Source organism: Homo sapiens, chromosome 6, assembly GCF_000001405.40.
Source record: "Homo sapiens chromosome 6, GRCh38.p14 Primary Assembly".
In the NCBI taxonomy this organism is placed as follows: domain Eukaryota; kingdom Metazoa; phylum Chordata; class Mammalia; order Primates; family Hominidae; genus Homo; species Homo sapiens.
Window position 1 is genome coordinate 55525482 of NC_000006.12, and position 20634 is coordinate 55546115.

General features: G+C 34.7%; 1 protein-coding gene across 10 annotated transcripts in view, besides 1 other annotated feature; it reads right to left on the minus strand.

Moving 5' to 3' along the window:
• The window catches only part of HMGCLL1 (3-hydroxy-3-methylglutaryl-CoA lyase like 1), a 244547-nt gene that overhangs the window by 91109 nt on the left and 132804 nt on the right, over positions 1-20634 (minus strand). For all 10 annotated transcript variants that reach the window (NR_109869.2, NR_109867.2, XM_047418902.1 and 7 more), the window contains 2 exons: positions 16579-16659; positions 16248-16355 (listed from right to left, as the gene is read on the minus strand). Coding sequence is in view for 5 of the 10 variants with exons in the window: in XM_047418902.1 (XP_047274858.1) it covers positions 16248-16355; positions 16579-16659 (189 nt within the window). In the remaining 5 variants the exon portion in view is untranslated. The remainder of the gene's footprint in view (positions 1-16247; positions 16356-16578; positions 16660-20634) is intronic.
• Positions 3210-3504: an enhancer, noted in NCBI's record as "tiled region #3486; K562 Activating non-DNase unmatched - State 13:Ctcf". NCBI's record gives its function as "activates a minimal TATA promoter and a strong SV40 promoter by Sharpr-MPRA in K562 cells {active_cell/tissue: K562}" and the evidence as "EXISTENCE:reporter gene assay evidence [ECO:0000049][PMID:27701403]".

The following is a 20634-nucleotide window of genomic DNA, read 5'->3' on the forward strand; positions in this document are numbered from 1 at the left end:
CTAACTGAAATAATTAAGGCCCTTTATCTTGTTAACTAAGCCAGAGTTACTGAGACTCAAAGCTGGAACTCTCTTAGAAAACCCACTTCCACCAAGTGGAACCGACTCAGTATGTGTCATTTACTGAAGGGTCCAGTGTGCTTAGAGCTGTGCTTCCAAATACTGGCCTGAGGACTGCCTAGGTCAGAATGATCTGGGACGACTTTTAAAATGCTTATTTCTATATTCTGTATTGGCCCCAATGAACCAAAAATCTCTGAGACTGTAAACTGGAAATCTGCACATTCAGTAATTTCCTCTGCTGCTTTATATGCATGGTTTAGAAAAGTCTGCAACTCCTCCCTGCGGTGAGGAGTAGAAGTTTTGGAGTAGATTCCTGTGTAACCCACATAGACCCTACAAAACAGATTTTTTTTGCTGTGCTTTACAATGAGCATTATTATGGTCCAGAGTACTGTGGTCAGGTCACACTAATCCCAACTTATTGGACTCTAAGAAATGGATGTCACCTTGGATCTGACATCCATGACCAATATACAACCAAGGAAAGCCTTATATTAAGGTTATCCTTACCCCCAGCTGGAACTTCGTTATCATCTTCTTACTACTGAGATTCCAGAATAATTTGCAGCTAAGCCTTTGAAGGTCTGGAGGACTCCAGACCCCTATTTTTTCTTAACAGCTCACCTCACTCTTATTGAAGTGCTCCCAGCTTGCCTTTGATGATAGCAAAATGTCTGCAGCATTATGCCCACTATTTCAGGTCTCTGATCCTTTACATTATTCCTTCTGCCTAAAAATCTTTTTCCCTTTTTTATCTAGTTAATTGATTTCATTTTTCCAATATTCAACTCAAAAATTCCTCTTACATGACATTCTCAATAACCAACTTGACTTAGATGTCTCTATACTTCCTAACTTGCTTTGTATTATCTATCATTGCTCTTATCAAATTTTGTATAATTTTTGATTCATGCATCACTTTCCATTATTAAATCATTAGCTCTTTAAATACTTTGCATGAAATAAGATTTAATAAATGATTGTTGAATTGAATTGACATTTATCTCCCTTGGTTTTAGCCCTTTATTCTAATTCGAATTCACTTTGAATTCAATCCACTTTGAATTGTGATTTTTTTCCCACTAATTCTTCTACTATTTTATTGTTAATAATGATGGTAATAATGGTAAAAGCACATTTACTTTATGCTGAGTTACATGTTAAACCTATGGGTATTTAATTCTTTATGTGGTATCCTTTTACAAATTTTTAACAACCTAATAAGAGACTCCTTTCTAAATTGCAATCACTTCAGGCCCATAAAATGGGGATTCACCTCTGAATAAAAATAAAATTAGGCTTTCCTTATTGAAGTAGGAGCAGAGGGCCTAGAGTTCACTGGTTTGGCCTCCCTCAAGCCAACCTTGCTGATTCCCAACCTTGTTGATTCCCAACCTTGTTGAAGTCTAACATCAACAGAACTAGATAGTGATATTAGAAATAAAGGTCACCCAGTTAGTGAGTGCAAAAGCTGGGCAGGGACCCAAGTCTATCTGACTGCAAAGCATGTTCTCTAATACCTCCTTGATAAACACATCTTCCATATCTTCTACCTTCTATATCATCCATATCTTATCTTTTCTATATCTTCATCTTAGTCACTACTAAAGATTGTGTGCATCAGAATATCAAAGGCAGAGCTCCTAGAGAGAACTCACCTTCAGGCTGAACAGTCTTGTGGCATATTTTATCATCTAGCCCAATATCTCTCAAACTGAATCCATCATCAGCATTATTTGAGGTACTTTTTAAAAATACAGATTTCTTGGACATATTGGTACAGATTCTAATTCTGTTCTCCTGTAAGAGCCAGGAATCTATAATTAACAAAACTTCTCAGGAGATGTTAGAAATCCTAACAAGTTTGGGAATCAATAAGGTTGGCTTGAAGGGGGCCAAATTAGCACATTCTAGGCCTTCTGACCCTACTTCGATAAAGGAAAGCTAATTGTATTTTTATTCAGAGATGAATCCCCATTTTGTGGTCTTGAACCTAAAGCGACTGCAATTTAGGAGGGGGCCTCCTTAAGAAAAAGAACACAAAAATATCTATTGAAAATTTCGTTAAAACTTATAACAGATGATGACACTGATAAGACCTCTCCTACAGCCTAGAAGGGACCTCAACAAATCTTTTATGGTGACTTTCTTGTCTATATCATATATTGAAGTTCTACATAAAGTTTTACCCATGACAAAAAAGAAAAAAGTTTCACTGATAAAAACTAAAGTTTGGAAAAATACCAGTTTTGGTAAAATTTCATATCTTGCTCAGAGAAATATCAACAAGATAGTCAAGGATATTTTTTAAATACTCCAGAAATACTATCAGCAAACAAGTGAGGTCAGTTTGGTATGTCTTTTTATTGGTACATCCATAAGATTTCCGAGTACATCTCATGTTCATAAATTCTCTGTTTAATCAACTATCCTAAATTTTGCTAGGAAAAGACTTAAACTCATGGACCTATAAGCCCTCATTTTTCCTTTTCACTAATATAGATTGCTAAATAATTTTAAAAATATATTTTTGAAGGATACTTTGCTTTCTTTGCCCCACCACCAACTCTATCGATAATCCAGGACAATATTCATTATCTCTTCAAAATGAGCGGATAATGTCAGAAGCTATCTGTCTACAATCTCCAGTAGCTGGATTAGACATAACTGACAGTATTACTTTCTATATGCAGGCGTACAACAGGAAAGAGACATAGAGCATGCAATTTCTTCAACACATGCCATCGATTACTATAAAAATGTAAATAATGTGGTTTCAGACCCTATAACTCAAAACTCAATTTGAGCAGTAACTCCTCTTAAAGGCGATACATTCGTAAATTCAGTAATGAGAAAAAATGAGACTAGAGCTCTTCCTGACAACCCTGGGTGAAAATGCTGTAGCCAGTTATGAATAGCACTGTAGCCTGGGTACAGTAACCCTGTCTCATTCACAGACTCCTTGCACAAACCCCATATATCTTAGCCTCAGTAGCACAGAGGAGATCTTGGTCTGCTTGAAGAAGTAAGACAGTTTTAATAAATCACAGTCTTACAATAATAAACACAGGAAATCTCTGGAAAATTGAACATCCAGTTTTTTTTTTTCTACCCAATACCCTGTCTTGGCTGCCAAAGCTAAAATAGACTGACACCATATTCACAAAACTTCTTAAGTCCAGAAGCCTTGAAACTAACTTGGTCTTGTGTATAATTTCCTGTACTTCCTTATTCAGCATTACCTTTGTGTACTAAGGACCTCTGTACTGCCCTCTATGGGGTGAAATGCCTACACGTCTCAAGAGTGACCAAAACAGGAAGCATATGACCCAAACTCTTCTATTGTAAATGCAGGCAAGACATTTGAGTCATGATCCACTAATGTCTACAAGTATTCATTTTTTAAATTAATAAAATAGACCCAGGCTACCCAAATGGATCTGTGAGTTATAAACTGAGAGACCAATATTCCAGATAAAGAAATAAAAGTCATTTTATTCAATAGCATTTCCTAGTTTCCTAAGATAAACATAATAAATATGCATTAGTTATTATTTGTTCAGGTTAATGCCTTTTGTGACCACCCTCCTGGTCTTCCCATGTCAAAACAATCATGTTCCCAACATCATTCTGAAGTAGGGCAAGAAGTCTCAAAGCTCCCAGTATAATTTTTTTTCCACTCAACTGTGCTGCCTCTCATATATCATGTCTTTATGTTTGATAATAACACTGTCAAAGTTGTTATTTCCCATGCATGAAAGCAGAAGTGATTTTTGAAATACTGTATCTAATTGTAGTTACTGTATACAGACTGTAAACAAAGTTTCCTTCCTATACTTACACTTCTTTCTGTAAGCCAACTTGCACAGAGTGGAGGGTAGGCCTGGGTTGTTGGAAGGAGACTAACTCACTGGTAATAAGACACTGGAAATAAGTAATAAGACACTGGCTGTGGAAAAAAAAGGGTCTTATTACCACAACAAGCAATGCCATCACTGCAAATTTGTGGTTTGGCCATCATATAGATCCGGAGATCTCCGTTTTGATATAAGACAGAACTTTAAAAAAACTGGCCAGAGTGCTCGATGACAAACTGCTTAACATACCCTGGTTACTAAGTTCTATTTTATAACTCATTTACAGATATTCACTTGATTTTAAAACGCCATTTGTATGAGTTTGATTTTTTTATTATTTTTTTCCAATTATCTATTTTAACTTTACACTTACCTTATTAGGTATATATTATGGTTATCGATAGCAACTACTTATTATTCAACATTTGGGTCCAACAGAGAACTCAATACAGTTTTGAATAGAGACACAATAAAAGCAATAAATGGGTGAGTGAATAAATGGAAACAATCCAAGGCATAGAGAGATGAAACTACTTCGCCAAATCATATCATACATGAGTAAGAGTCAGGTCTCAGATTTTGTATTGCTCTACCAGAAAGCATGGGTTAAACAGACAGAAAAAGTGATAAAAACCTCAGAAAACCTGAAACCTGGAGGATCTGGTGGGGGGTTGGGGGGCGGGGTGTGGATGACTATATTTGGGCTACTAGAAATATATTTCTTACTACGTATTATAAGCAGAATTCAATACAAGATGCATCCATCTTGACTGATAATAGTGTTAAATTTATAAATAGATTACACATTATAGCAGTATAAGAAGGTCTGAAGTAAGTAGTATTAGTGCTATAAGGTTATTAGCATGAATTTGCTTCAACAGGTTGATATTTCAAAGTTCTTAATTATAACCTATAAGTTTTTGCAATGACAAATTTAAATTTGTCCAAGACATTTATAAAATAAATAGCATTCTTCAAAATATATCTTATATATTAACAATGAAAATACCTAATATCCATAGATGTTATAAAATATTCTACTATTCTAAAAATTATAATTCCAATCAGTGATGAATTGATAGGTCAAATGTTCAAGATAAATAAGCTTGGATAAAATTTTTAAAAGCAAAATAAAATCAAATATTTTATGAAATATGTTTTTGATTTACAGGCATACTCTAAATAAAAAACGTATATTCTTTTTCTTTTATCAAATGTAAAACAAGTGAAACATTAGCATATATACATTTCACTAATGTGTAGGTTTTGACATGTAAAATCCATTGTCTAATGTGATATTCGGGATACAATATTACTTTCGGCATTCATGTTTATCTTTCTAAGTCTCTATGTTTACTAAATAGTACTTCTAGAGAACTTTCCAGCAATTTAATCAGATAATATTAGATCAATCCGTGTGTACCTAAAAATTAGAAAAATCACTTTATTTTTATTTTTAAAAAATATTCAAATAACATAACTCTTTATGAACATCAGCCAAAACGTATGTCTTTAAAACGCATTATCCTAATTATTTAAAAATAACTGCTATGATATGTTTCATTTTAAGTGCTCAAGGATACAAGGATAATGTATTCTTGAAAATAAGTACTGCTAGAAAATACTCAAAACTGGGCTATCCAGACTACGCTTAATATCTTAATGCTTTAATGTTTAAACCAGGTTTTGAGTAATGGATGTGAATCTCCAAGTGAGCAAGTCGTAACTATGGCACACTGGAAATAAGTATTACTAAATACTTTCATTCCCTCTAGTCTAGTCCCTAGGGCATACTCTGCATTTCCCAAAGTGGATTTCACTTAAGTGGCTTGGGAGTCATATCAATGAAATGAGTTTGCACTAAAATAATATCAACAATGTTTATCAACAGACTAATCACAGTAATGCAAAAAAGACCACTAAAGAGTCAGAATCAAGTCTTTCTGAGCCATACTGGACCTCTATTTGGGTTTTAAACAATTACATACAGACCTTTCAAATGTCAATGCATGCACACAGTTCTACAAGACCAAATTTTAAGGTACTTTTAGTCAGATACAAAAGTGGAATTTTAATGTGACCAACACGGCTTTGAAAGGTTTTTTTCTCTTTCTCATGGAAAAACTTATTTACAAAATTGACAAACATGATGAACTCAATACAATTGAATAAAAGATAAGGTAAAGCAGTGGTACCCAACCCCCAGTCCACAGACCAGTACTGGTCTGTGGCTGGTTAGGAATGGGGCCACACAGCAGAAGGTGAGCAGCAGGAGAGCAAGTGAAGTTTCATCTGTATTTGCAGCCACTCCCCATCACTCATGTTACCTCCTGAGATCCACCTCCGGTCAGATCAGCAGCTGCATTAGATTTTCATAGGAGTGCATGCAAGGGATCTAGGTTGTTCACTCCTCATGAGAATCTAATGCCTGATGAACTGTCGCTGTCTTTATCATCCCCATATGGGACTGTCTAGTTGCAGGAAAACAAGCTTAGGGCTCCTACTGATTCTACATTATAGTGAGTTGTATAATTATTTCATTATATATTATAATGTATTAATAATAGGAAAAAGACATAGTAAACGTAATGCACTTGAATCATCTGGAAACTACCTCCCACCTCCCCGTTTGTGGAAAAATTGTCTTCCACAAAACCAGTCCTTTGTGCCAAAAAGCCTGGGGACCTCTGAAGTAGAATATTTTATTTTAATATTATGTTTTGGTTATTTTTTTAAATCTAAGAACAAAGAAAACCCAACTTGTTAGTCAAAGTGTAATTGAGCAAATTAATTATCATCCTACTGAAAAGTAGTACATGCTGAGCATAATAATCTTCGAGTATAATACTTTTTAGCTAGTGGGGGTAAAAAGGACAAAAATGCTTGAATTATATGTTCTGCTTGAAAATATGAGCATATTAAACAATAAAATTGCTGACATTATTGCTTTCATTATAAATTTTGCTTTTTCTTAGGATACAGTAGTGGAACTACATCCCAGGTACAGTAGAAGTTGTTGTTGAATGCTGAGTAATACCAAACGATGTTAGCAACAAATATTTTCCCCCATTTTATTGCATATTAACCTTAAAAAAAGTCCAAAGAGAAAAAATAATAGTGGCTGGGTGCAGTGGCTCATGCCTGTAATCTCAACACTTTGGGAGCCTGAGGCAGGTGGATCACAAGGTCAGGAGTTCGAGACCAGCCTGGCCAAGATGGTGAAACCTCGTCTGTACTAAAAATACAAAAATTAGCTGGGTGCGATGGTGGGCACCTGTAATCCCAGCTACTTGAGAGGCTGAAGCAGGAGAATCGCTTGAACCCAGGAGGTAGAGGTTGCAGTGAGCTGAGATCACACCACTGCACTCTAGCCTGGGCAACAAAGCAAGACTCTGTCTCAAACATAATAATAATAATAATAATAATAATAATAATAATAATAATAATAATAATAGTTTCCACCATCCCAACAAAAACAGTGTTAACATTTCCATATTCTTTTTTTGAGCGAGACAAAGAGTGTTTTAAATATTTATAAATAGGCTTTGGGCAATTGTTTCTCCTATGTGGTAACAGTAGCAATGATTTAATTGTACAGTGGAACAGCTTTAAAGTATTGCATTTCAACTTAATCCCTACTTAAAAACACAGGAATTGATTAGTAGCCCCCACTCTTAACCAGAGGAATTCAGGAATTTATATCATCACTATTTGTAAAGATATAGTAAATAATACCACTATTACATAAGTAACACTTGTATAGGATATAAATCAAATATACTGCCACATTATAGAGTGTCTAGGATAGTATTCAGAATATTTATTATTATATTATTTTAGTATCCAAAATATGTACTATTATTGTATTATTTTAGTATCCAAAATATGTACTATTATTATATTATTTTAGTATCCAAAATATGTACTATTATATTATTTTCATTCAATAAGAGATAAGTTTGCAAATTTAGAGAAACATTTAACACGGCAACTTAAAATAATTCTGGGTGTTTGTGCTAACAAAAGAGCAACAAAAATCTAATTGCTACTTTTCATTTCTAGAGTACATTGATATTTTGCTCTGAAAAGAGATCCTCCTAGTGTGTATTATTTCAAAAGCAAATAGGTATTCATAAATAATTTAACATATAGAACTGAATGATGTGTGTATTCCAGACGTGTCATAGAAGTTACAACAGACTCGGCCGGGCGCGGTGGCTCACGTCTGTAATCCCAGCACTTTGGGAGGCCGAGGCGGGCGGATCACGAGGTCAGGAGATCGAGACCATCCTGGCTAACACGGTGAAACCCCGTCTCTACTAAAAATACAAAAAATTAGCCGGGCGTGGTAGCGGGCGCCTGTAGTCCCAGCTACTCGGGAGGCTGAGGCAGGAGAATGGCGTGAACCCGGGAGGCGGAGCTTGCAGTGAGCCGAGATCGCGCCACTGCACTCCAGCCTGGGCGACAGAGCGAGACTCCGTCTCAAAAAAAAAAAAAAAGAAGTTACAACAGACTCTGAAAAGATGTCAGTACAGAGTTAGGACTTTGATGAACAGGTCTGGACATAAAAAACAGCTTCAGAAATACAGGGACATAATTTCATTCTACAGTAAAGACAGTGATTTGTGTGGCGGTGTGTGTTCACTGTTTTCAACACCTCTTAATCTCATTTAAAGCAAAAGAAATTAATTTTATAGAGGGAGTGGATAGGAGTGAGGTAAGTATTGTAGCCATGACAGTACTAAAATAGGTATTCTTTTTAATTTGGGAGTTTTTTGTTTATCTATCAACTGTACTTATTATTTAACTATTAGTAAGAAAAAGCATATAATTAGGTTAGTTATTAGGCCAGTTTTAAAAACATAAAAGTGGCAGATTATAAAAAGACCTCAGTGGTATTTCCCCTCCCACTTGCTCTTCCAGAATGCTGTGACCCAATATAAAGGTGGTAACTGTCCCCTCCTTTTGAAACTCGGTGGGCTTTGTAACTGACTCAACTAATAGCTTATGAAAAAGTAATGCTATAAAATTTACAAGGCTTGGTTATAAAAGCCATACCACATTTGCCTACCCCTTAAGACACTCATCTTTGGAACTCTGAGCCATTTATGTTAGATTAAAGCTGCTATGCTGTGATAAAGTCCAAACTAGCCCCTGCAGGAGACCACGTGGAGAGTCTTTGAGAACACAGGAAGAGAGAGGTGGACAGCAAGCCTGCAGCTGCCCAAGCCCCCTGCCCCTGCTGTTGCAGCTCTGACCACTGTCTATCTCATTGTGAGTACCTAAGAAACCTCTAGCTAGAGATGCTGAATTGAGCCATTACTGAATTCTTGATACACAAATACCATAAGCAAAAACAAATGTTGTTATTGTTTTAAGCCATTAAATTTAAAGATTATTTGGTGTGCGGGTAATCGAAGAACCAACACAAATTTACTAACGCTCAAGGATATGTAGCAATTACATATATTTGAATATATACATTTGCACAAACACATAAAATATTTCCCACAAGCTGCATAGTCAGTGAAAACACGTTAGACCGATTGAAGCAATGTGGAGTCTATGGTTCATGCCATTTAAGTACTGGGAAAAAAATGAGGTGGCAAATAGTGTATGCTTGTTCTCAATTTTCTTGAAGAGCTAACATATTTTATCTATGTGGATCTAGCTCTCAGAGCACAATTTTACCTACATTTAAATTTCAATGACCATTTGAGATCATTTACTAAAGAACTAAGTGTCTTCATTCCTTCTCTGAGACCAAATATTGGACAAACAGCAATTATTTGTTATATAAGAAATTCAACGTGTTTATATAAGTTGAAAAACAGAACGAGCCTCATATATTTAGAAACAGAAAATGAACCATGACAACTCTTATAAGGAAGCAACACTAGTGTGCATACCTGCTCTACGAATTCAGGAGAAAAGACAAGAATATGAAGACTTCACCAATAAATATTCTCAGTGATTTTAATCAGCTGATTCTCTAGGATAACTGATTAATAGATCTACTTCTGTCATAAAAATATGTGGAAGACCCACAGTTGCTGAGTAGATCATCAATTAAGTGAGAGTTGGGTCATAATATGGTTTTGATCTCCATGCCGGCATCTTAGTGTGCAGAAGAAAATAGTGTTCTATGCACAGAATTGAGTATTTTAAGTCAGGCTCATTTGGAGATAATTTGGTTTAAGTCTCCCTCCCTCTTTCAGCCAACATTCTCCTCTCCTCTACCTGTCTGGGTAAAGGACTCCTATAGCACCAGGGAATAAGAATTGTGATCTTGGTAAATTTCACCAGGAACCTCTTTGGGAAGGTGACAGAGGCCAACTCATCTGGATAATAATGGATGAGTCTTACTCTGGAAAATTTCCCAAATGGAAAGTTTTTCTGAATGAACTGTACCTTATAAGCAAGCAATTTGGGGGCTCTCTGCCTCCTTTCTTTCTCACTCTCTCTTTCAGCCCCTTCGTGCACCCTCACATACACCTCGTCAAAATCACCTCCTTCTTTGACTCTTTTCCATACCTACCTTCCTCAAAAGAAAAGAGCTAGGAGGAGACATCAGGACTGGACTTGGTAGCAGAAGGTATAGCCTCCTGCATCTCATCAACGTAAATCTGAATTTTAAACTTCAATCCAGTAAATGTGTCTTCAGTGCCAATAAAGAGCTACTTGTATCACACACCAAAAGGAGAGTAGGGGTAATTTACTCGTTCCTTCTTGCTAACATTGTGTTTGGTCCATATTTTTAAGTTTTAGAGTGACTTGAAAATAATTATTTGTCTTTTACATACATTTCTTTCTACTTTTATTAAAAAAATCTATTTTTATTCCCTGGTGTTGGGACTTGTGACCCATCTATTCCAACAGTTAAAAAATAGCTAATGAGGGAGCAAATATTTTTAAACTAAGCCTTTGCCTATGGCATACATAAATGTACAATGTTATGTATATTTAATGTATTTTTATTTTTAAATAAGTGATATTCATTTTAATCACTTGTGAATAAAATATTTACAATCAAATGGCTAAACTAAAGATGAATGTAAAACTCTAGTTCACTTTTTAAAAGATTATTGTATTTACAGTTTAAATAGCTTACTACTAACGGCCACATTCCAATGTTGCAATAAACTTTATCTATTTTTATAAACATGTTTTCTTTCTGCTGCTATTGTTCATTCCATCTGAGCGAGGGGCTATCTGGACTCATTTCAAATGTTCTTATATTTCATGTCACTCTAAGGAAAGCTTTTCCCAGATAAGTTGTAAAGAACATGTATTTTTTAATGACAGGTATTTTATCATCTCCAGCCATTCAGGTTATAGGTGTGGGATCCTGTTTTATATGGCACCCTGCTACTGTGGAACTTTTCTTTTAGCTGTTTGAGTTAGAAAGTCTTTGCCAAACAAAACAGTAGGAGGGAAACTGTAAAAAAGCTTTAAAATCCTAAAAAAAGAAATAAGTGATCAAGCAGCAATCTAAACATCAACTAGAGGACTATTCCCATGACCTACATTTGAGGAAAAAAATATAAGATGTAGAGAATTAATAGAATACCAATTTAGATCCACACACATTGTCCTTAAAAGTAGAAATTATTTCAACCAATATATATGTAAGCTGTTGTACTAAAATTATCGTCAAAATCTCAGATGTTAAGTTAGACAAGTCTGACTTCATAAGATTTTTTTTCCAAAATAAGAGAGTAATATAAAACTTCAAAAGAGAAATTTTAAAATGGTCTGCTCAGACAAGCTCCCTGAAATCTAAAATCAAATTGGAAAAGTAGAATATCCTCAATATTTGCCTTTGACAAACATTTAATGTGTTATATAGTAAGTGACTGATACAACTTTGGAAGATAAATTTCCTGTCTTGGATTCAGGCACACTGATCTTTTACAAGTATGTGATTTATTTAAACCACTTAAAAAATTGGAATGTATATAACTAGATGAATATTAAAGTAAAATATATAACATAGCCTTTAGCATTTGAAAGGCAAAATATCTTCAATTATTCAACTTGAGCTCAACTCAATATTGTAACTATACACATACTTTAATCTTCAGAATAAAGGCTAGTTATCAGAAAAGGCAGTGAACTTGTGTAGAGCCCAAGATCCATCCATCAGTATGTCTACTAATCAGGCATTCCCTTAAATAACAGTACTGAGCACTGGTCAGGAGTCAGGTGCTTTGGACTGTGGGCATTCACACTCAGGGACCATTCACGTGCCTTATAATCTCCAACACTCTGATACTGCAGGCATCACTGCTGGGATTTCCAAGGTTCAGAGAGGTTAAGTCACTTACTCAAGTTCAAGGCAGAATGTGAACAGGGACACAATTTCGGAAGCACTTCCTCTCACCACAGCTGTCCTCAAAAGCTATGTGGGGGAATTCAGGCACTTATTCGATAATACTTTGAGCCTTGGAAGAGTTCATTAAATTTGAATAGTTTAAGCCCTAAACTCAACTTGGGAACAAACCTAGAATAAATCATATCATTTTATAGTCCTATCCCATGTATCTACTTAATGTAAGGTCAGGAGGCATTTTCCAATTACTTCTCACAAAGGGACTGCCTTTTTTTTTCCTTTTGTCCATCTTTTCTCTTAACTAGCTATGCAAGAAGTGTAGCCTTCTAAAAATTATTTCTGCCTTATCCTTCTAAATGTCACTGAGTATGTCCTAAATCAGTTTTTAAAAATCTATCATCAATTTCCACTCTTGCATAATACTAGAAGGTGGCCATGAACATTACTATAGGAAAGACTATTTTGTAGGCAGCTTTATAAAACCACTGAGGAAACAAAAAAGAATTTCAAAGAGGGCTAGCAACAGTTTGTACCTGAAATATAACTTTAGTTGGTCAATATTCATCAAATAATATTAGCGAAATCTATTATCTTTCCTAACACTAATTCTAAAGTTATATCAGCCTATTCAGTTTCTCTCCAGCAATAATCAAATATGTGAAATTAGCAAAGACTGTATTAAAGACAGAAGTAAATTTATGAAGATATAAAGACAATAAAAATGTCTAGAACTCTCTTAAAATTAATGGTGGCTAGTGAAATAATAGCTAGCATTTTACAAATTGACAATTTCAAGGAAATATACCTAGCCTAATCAAACTAGTAGTGTTTTCCTAAAAAATAGTTTTGTGACCTTCATTATACAGGACCAAATACATGAACAAAGTGAGAGTCAATTGCCGATGCCAGAGAATTGAAAGTAATATGGTATTGTTCTCTCAGACTGATTGATTTATTTTTTTTATTTTACATTGAGCACCTACTTACTATGTACTGAGAAATGGGTGTACAGTGATAAGTAGAAGATAAACGATACATGATCACTACTTTTAAAATACTTATGGTATAGGTAGTGGCTAATCAAAACAAAATATATACACATACACACACACACACACACACTATAAACAGCAGTGACAATGGGATAGAGAAAATTAGTTTCTTTTGAGGATAAATAAAAGTCACCCTCTGTGAAAGGTGACATATTACTACTACTCTTAATCCTATTTTGGCTTCTGTTACTTCAAATGTAATACAATTAAAAAGCCTTTAATGTTTTAAGCCTTTCTATCTAATTGAGTTCTAACTGCAGAGAAACGCAGAAATACAGATACACATAAGCAAGTACAGGTAAAGTGCTATATGGACAAAGAGGCAGGACATGTAAATAGAGGACAAGAAACAGTTAATTTAGCAGTAGCTTCCACAAAGTAATACAGTTAACACTAAGAAGGAAAAAACGTGGCCAGGTATAGACAGTCTTGAATACCAAACCAAAGTTTCCAGGCTTTGTCAATGGGAGGAAGGGAACCATTAAAGAACTTAGAATGTGACTTTTTGACCTAAAGACAGAAATGCCATTTGACCCATCAATCCCATTACTGGGTATATAACCAAAGGAATATAAATAATTCTATCATAAAGACACATGCATGTGAATGTTCATTGCAGCACTATTCACAACAGTAAAGACGTGTAATCAACCTAAATGCCCATAAATGATAGTCTGGATAAAGATAATGTACTCCTGTATACCATGGAATACTATACAGCCATAAAAAGAATGAGGTCATGTCCTTTGCAAGGATACGGATGAAGCTGGAGGCCATTATCGAACATATTATCTAGCACATTAACTAACATAGGAATAGAAAACCAAATACTGCATGTTCTCATACATAAGTGGGAGCTAAATGATGAGGACACACGGACACATAGAGAGGAACAACACACACTGGAGCGTATGGAAGAGTTGAGGGGGGGAGGAGGAGAGAATAAGGAAAAATAACTAAAGGATACTAGGCTTAAGACCTAAGTGATTAAATAATCTGTACAACAAAATCCCGTGACAGATGTTTACCTAAGTAACAAACCTGCACTTGTACCCCTAAAGTGAAAGAAAGAGGAAGAAAGAAAGAAAGAAAGAAAGAAAGAAAGAAAGAAAGAAAGAAAGAAAGAAAGAAAGAAAAGGAGGATGAGGAGGAGGAGAAGGAAGGAAGGAAGGAAGGAAGGAAGGAAGGAAGGAAGGAAGGAAGGAAGGAAGGGAGGGAGGGAGGGAGGGAGGGAGGGAGGGAGGGAGGGAGGGAGGGAGGGAGGGAAGGAAGCAAAGGAGGGAAGGGAAGGAAGGAAAATATGACTTTGTGAAAGCTGATAATTCTGGAAGATTATTTTACAAGGAAAGTATGACGAATGGAGAAACAGTGCTTATAAATACCATTTAAGGGACTACTGTAATGATTATTTAATGAGGACCTGGATCACTAATGTATCAATGGGACTGAAAAGAAGACACAGGTGTAGGCCATACTGAAGAAGAAGACATTTCATACATCAGTAACTGTTATGGACTGAATGTTTGCACCTCCTCAAAATTAATATGTTGAAATCCTAACCTGTAATGTGATAATATTAAAAAGAAGGATCTTTGGGAGATAACTAGGTGATGGGGGTGGAGCTCTCATGAATGGCATTAGTAACATGATAAGGAGAGACATGAGTGTGCTCCCTGTCTCTGCTCTCCACCATATGAGGATAGAATGAGAAGGTGACCATCTGCAAATAAGGAAGTGGGTGTTCACCAGACACTGGATCTGCCAGCACCTAAATGTTGGACTTCCCAGCCTCCATAACTGTGAGAAATAGTTCTCCTGCTGTTTAAGTCACCCAGTCTATGCTATTCTGTTATAGTATCCCTAAGTGACTACGACAGTAACTGGATACAAAGTCAGCTCTTAAAATCCAGATTTTAAAGGAAAGATTTGCACTCCTGGCATAAAGCAGGGTGGACAATGAGTTTGATTTTAACCCAGTGAGATTGAGGTGGAGATGGTACATCCACCTGAAGTTTATCAGGGAAGGCAGCACTAGAAATGCAAATGACTGTTGGTATTGGAAAGACAGCCAAAGAAGAGAGGATAGGCAGAGAAAAGCACTGAAAACAGAATCTTAGGGGAACCTTAAACTAAGAGGTCATGAAAGATGTCAGAGATGACAGAGAAAGAGCAATTGGGGAAATAACTGATTCATTAGAATAGAGAATAATGGAAACCAAGGAAATGATATCAGGAGTAGTCAGTGAAACTAAGTGCTGTGGAGAAATTAAGGGATCCAAGGACTGAGAACAGACACTGGATTAGGAAGAGTGTTTTACTGGTTGCTAATTACTAGTGATGTTTCAAAGATCAGAGTCAAGTTTCAGAAGTAATGACTGCTGCCACATGCCTGAAAACCCTAGAGAAAGCTCTCTCATCATCTTTCAAGGCAAAATTCTAGATGACTCTCTGCTTTATCTTCAATGATATATTTGATGACGTATCCCTGTTGCAAATACAAGTGTCAAAAAAAGCAAAGTAAAAGGAGTATGTGTCTCCATTTCTCACTCTTCAATATGGGATTCTAGAAGGAAGCTATCAGGCTACTTATTATCATTTGCCTCTAACAGACAAAATGACTAATGCATTTGGAGATGTTCAGATTATTTAGAAAGTCAGCCATAAAATGATAAAGAAAGGGCAGACCCCCTAAAATGCTATTCAACGGCCTTGTCCCCTATTCATTATATTGAACCATACTCACACAGGCTTAGTATAAAGTTCTAAGTAACTTGTAGGACTTCATCAAAGGGTTTTTATTTAATCATATCACAGTCCACAGGTTAATATTTTGAAAGAATATGGAAAATTAGTAATTATATCAAGTTAATATCACAGTATTTACCAAATATTTTTTGGTGAAGTTGAATTAGGATCTAATTAAGAAATTGTGGGTTTACATACCTGTGGTACCCATCTGGAAGACACAAAGCTAGTCACTTCTATTACAGACAAGCCAGTTTGGGAAAGTCGATTGATAAATTCAATTTTTATATCTGTAGGAACTATAACCTATGAAAACAAAAAATATTTTATAAGTAAATTGTATAGGTCCTATTTAAGCACAAACAGAAAATTACTTCCTAAGTCAAAGTGAGTATTATTTGTAATTTACAAATTCAAGTAGCAATTGAGAAAAAATATAATCAGATAACATATGAAATCCATGTAAATCTTTACAATCTTAAATTTATTAATTTGTAGACAGCATTTGAAGTAAATGATGTAAAACTACCTTTTCATTCTGCAATCCATCCCTAGGCCCAACTTCTACTATTTTAACAAACTCAGGGAGTCCAGATAACTGGGATGTTTCCTGAAATGCAAAATGTAAGAACAAGATAACGTAACTTTTAGATTGTTACATTTGCTTATTTGAAAAGTTAAACAACTGCACTTTGTTATACTCTTACCCCAGAGAATTAAAATACTGAAAAATCAATACAATGATATCATGAAAATGCACTATTTATATTACTTGCAACATGAAGTATTTTTTCCTTATAACCAAGTGATATTTAGTCTAGTTATGATTAAAATTCAAAAGATTAATTTATAAAATATAATTGAAGAATAATTGATTTACTCAGGACCTAAAGATCAAATCTGTTGGGTGATTCCGCATATGACAATAAACTAACTACTGTTAGAGTTCATTTAAAAATTACATCTTGACCAGGCACAGTGGCTCACGCCTGTAATCCCAACACATTGGGAGGCTGAGGTGGGAGGATCATGAGGTCAGGAGTTTGAGATCAGCCTGGCCAACATAGTGTAACCCTGTCTCTACTAAAAATACAAGAAATTAACTGGGCATAGTGGTGGGTGCCTATAATCCCAGCTATTTGGGAGGCTGAGGTAGGAGAATCACTTGAACCCAGGAGGCGGAGGTTGCAGTGAGCTGAGATCGTGCCATTGCACTCCAGCCTTGGTGACAGTGCGGAATTCCATCTCAAAAAATATATATACCTATATTTATATATATATATTACATATATATGTAATATATATGTATTATATATAAATATATATATATTTATATATTTTTATATTTTTATATATTTATATATTTAGATTATTTATATTGTTATTAGATTGTTATTATATTACTATATTTATAAGTGTATATAAATAATATATAATATATATTATAAATAATACAATATATATTATAAATTATTATAATATATCATATATAGATATATAATACATCATATATAATATATCATATATATGATATATAATATATATACAGGTGTGATATATATAATATAATATATGATATAATATATAATATATATCATATATATGATATATTATATATTATATATATTATATATATAATATATAATATATAATATATAATATATTATATATTATATATTATATATTATATAATATATAATATAGATATAATATAGATATATAATATATAATATAATATATCTATATTATATATAATATATTATATATCATATATGATATATAATATATAATATATATTATATATCATATATGATATATAATATGATATATTATATATTATATATATTATATGATATATAATATCTCATATATAATATAAAATCATATATGATATATATCATATATCATATATGATATATATGATATATATCATATATATCATATATAATATATATATGATATATATCATATATATCATATATAATATATATATTTTTATGTGTATATATATATTTACATATATATTTATATATTTTTATATATATTTATATATTTATATATATATATTTTTTTGCCAGCACTTTGGAAGGCCAAGGCATATTTGCTTGAGCCCAGGAGTTTGAGACCAGCCAGGGCAACATAGTGAAACCTCATCTCTCTTAAAAAAAACAAAAAATCAAAAATTAGTCAGGCGTGATGGGGGTGGTGTATCCTAAAGTCCCAGCTACTCTACTTGGAAGGCTGAGGTGGGAAGATTGCTTGAGTCCAGGGGATCAAGGCTGCAGTGAGCAGTGGTTGTGCCACTGCATTCCAGCCTGGGTGACGCAATTAGACCCTGTCTAAATAAATAAATAACTCTTTAAGTTAAAAGACTATTTCTACTTCCATGAAGAGGTATACAGGATGCCACCCTCTCTACCTTGAACTTGAATATGAATTTGGTTTTGGGAATTGGGCCCAGAAAACTGAGGCTAGAAAAGACAATTTGCTGCTTATTTTTTCTCTAGGTCACACAGCACAGCTACCACCTAAGTGTCGCTCCCTGAAAGACAGACCTATTCCTAGTGGAACCTATACCACAATAACCCACTGGGAGCAGCCTAGCTCCAGCCAAATGTAACAAACCCCTTGTTCTACCTTTTGCTAAAATCTGAGATGGCAAATGGTCTGGTTTCTGAAACCTCTGGTTTCAGACTAGGTACCATGGATCTAGTTTAGAAGATATATTTGCCTTCTAAATATGCCCATTTAGAAGGCTGTTATTTAAAATCGGGGGAAAACGAAACAGCCTTTGAAATAGTATATTGCAGTTAAAGTCAGAAGCATACTCCATCTTTCCAGACTGTACCAACATAATCTCTTGGTACCTCTGAGCCGAGTTAAGTTTGGGTAACCCATATTCAAGTTCTTTAAGTGGATAGTTGACAGAATCAGCCCAGAACCACAGAACCTGTACTTCAAAAGTTTTTGTTTGCTTGTTTTTGCCTTTTATCAGGAATGATGAATTCAAGCCAACCAGTTTATACTGTCACACTCTGTCCTTGTAAAAATTAAAGCATACATGGGTAAGGTGGCTGTTTTGAATGCAGAACCAAATTCAAGTCTGTGGAACAAAAAATATTCAAAGGCCATTTTTAGGGTCCAGAGCTGTTATTGGTTTTATCAGCATTCTGAGCTATCAGCAAAAGAACCCAGATGGTCCCCATTACAATGTTTACAGACCACTCTCTACAATTTCCATGAAATTAGTCAATTCAATAAGCAAAAAAAGCAACCTAGAAGAAAAAGAATTTTCTTTTCTGCATTTTCTGTGCAGGTTGTGATGCATGAAGTTAACCTGAGAGAGTGGAGGGATGAGAGGAAGGCCTGGGGTTCCTCAGCTTTAAACTCCATTTGGATGACAACATGAAATCATGCCTGATTTACAAGATGCCTATAATTTCAACAGAACAATAAATAAAATATATGACATGGGAAGGTGAAGTAAATAAGAAAAGCTCACTCTTCTTTCTTATTACCTCTAGTCTTCAGTTGGCAGGAATGAAACAAAAACAAAACTAGGCAATCTTAAGCCATGTGGTCTCATTATCACTGATTGTTTCTTGAAACTGCATTTCAACAACAATTAGCTTGGCACATACATGGCAGAAGAGTTTTCTTTTACTCAATGACAATGTTTGCCAAAAAAAAAAAAAAAAGAAGAAAAAGAAAGGTACGTAGTGTTTTTTAAGGTAATAACCATATGCCTCCTGAATACAGTTGAAGAACTGAGGACCTTTCTTTGCATCAATGTATTGTAGCTGGCATTATTAACAAGTAATCTGAAGAAATTAAATCACCGATTATTAACAATTATGGCCATTTCAATCAAAGCAGAATATGTGTTCACTTGACATTGTTTTTGATTCCTCTTGAATCTAATGTTACTATTTAGTCTTTCTAGACTATCTGAATTAAGCCAGTGACAGAAGTGACAGAAGAAATTATCCAATATGATCAACAAGTAATTATTGAGTACAGTCCATATGTCATGCATTGGGCTGGGGCTGATATATGCCAACTTAGAGCCAGTAATAAATGGTCCAATTATATATAAGTGTAAGATAGAAGGTAAGGAACAGCATGTACTGGGGAATATCTGGGGAGAAATATGTTCTGGTGGGGAGATAATGAGCTTATTTTTGAATTATTGAATTCTACGTGCTTGTATAACATTTAGTTGGATTTGCCTACTAGGCATTGTTTGTGCATATCTAAGCTCATTAGAAAAAAAAAGTCAATACAGAGATAGTAATGCTCAGGAAGAGACTAAAGATCAGTAAGAGAGGGCTCTTAAATCACACATAGTCAACAAGTATGAAAGGCAACCCATTTAAAAATGAGAAACTAGAGGATGACCAGGTAACACCAGCATATGCAATGGCTCACACTGCAGGAGCTGCACTTGGGGAACCTCAGAATTTCATAATGGGCTGTAGGCATACCTGCCCTTTGCCTTAGAGAGAGATACTATCTCTCTTTCTATGGCTGTTTGCTAGAAAAACATTCTTGAAAAGATATTCTCAAAGAAAGGCAATCAGTGCCT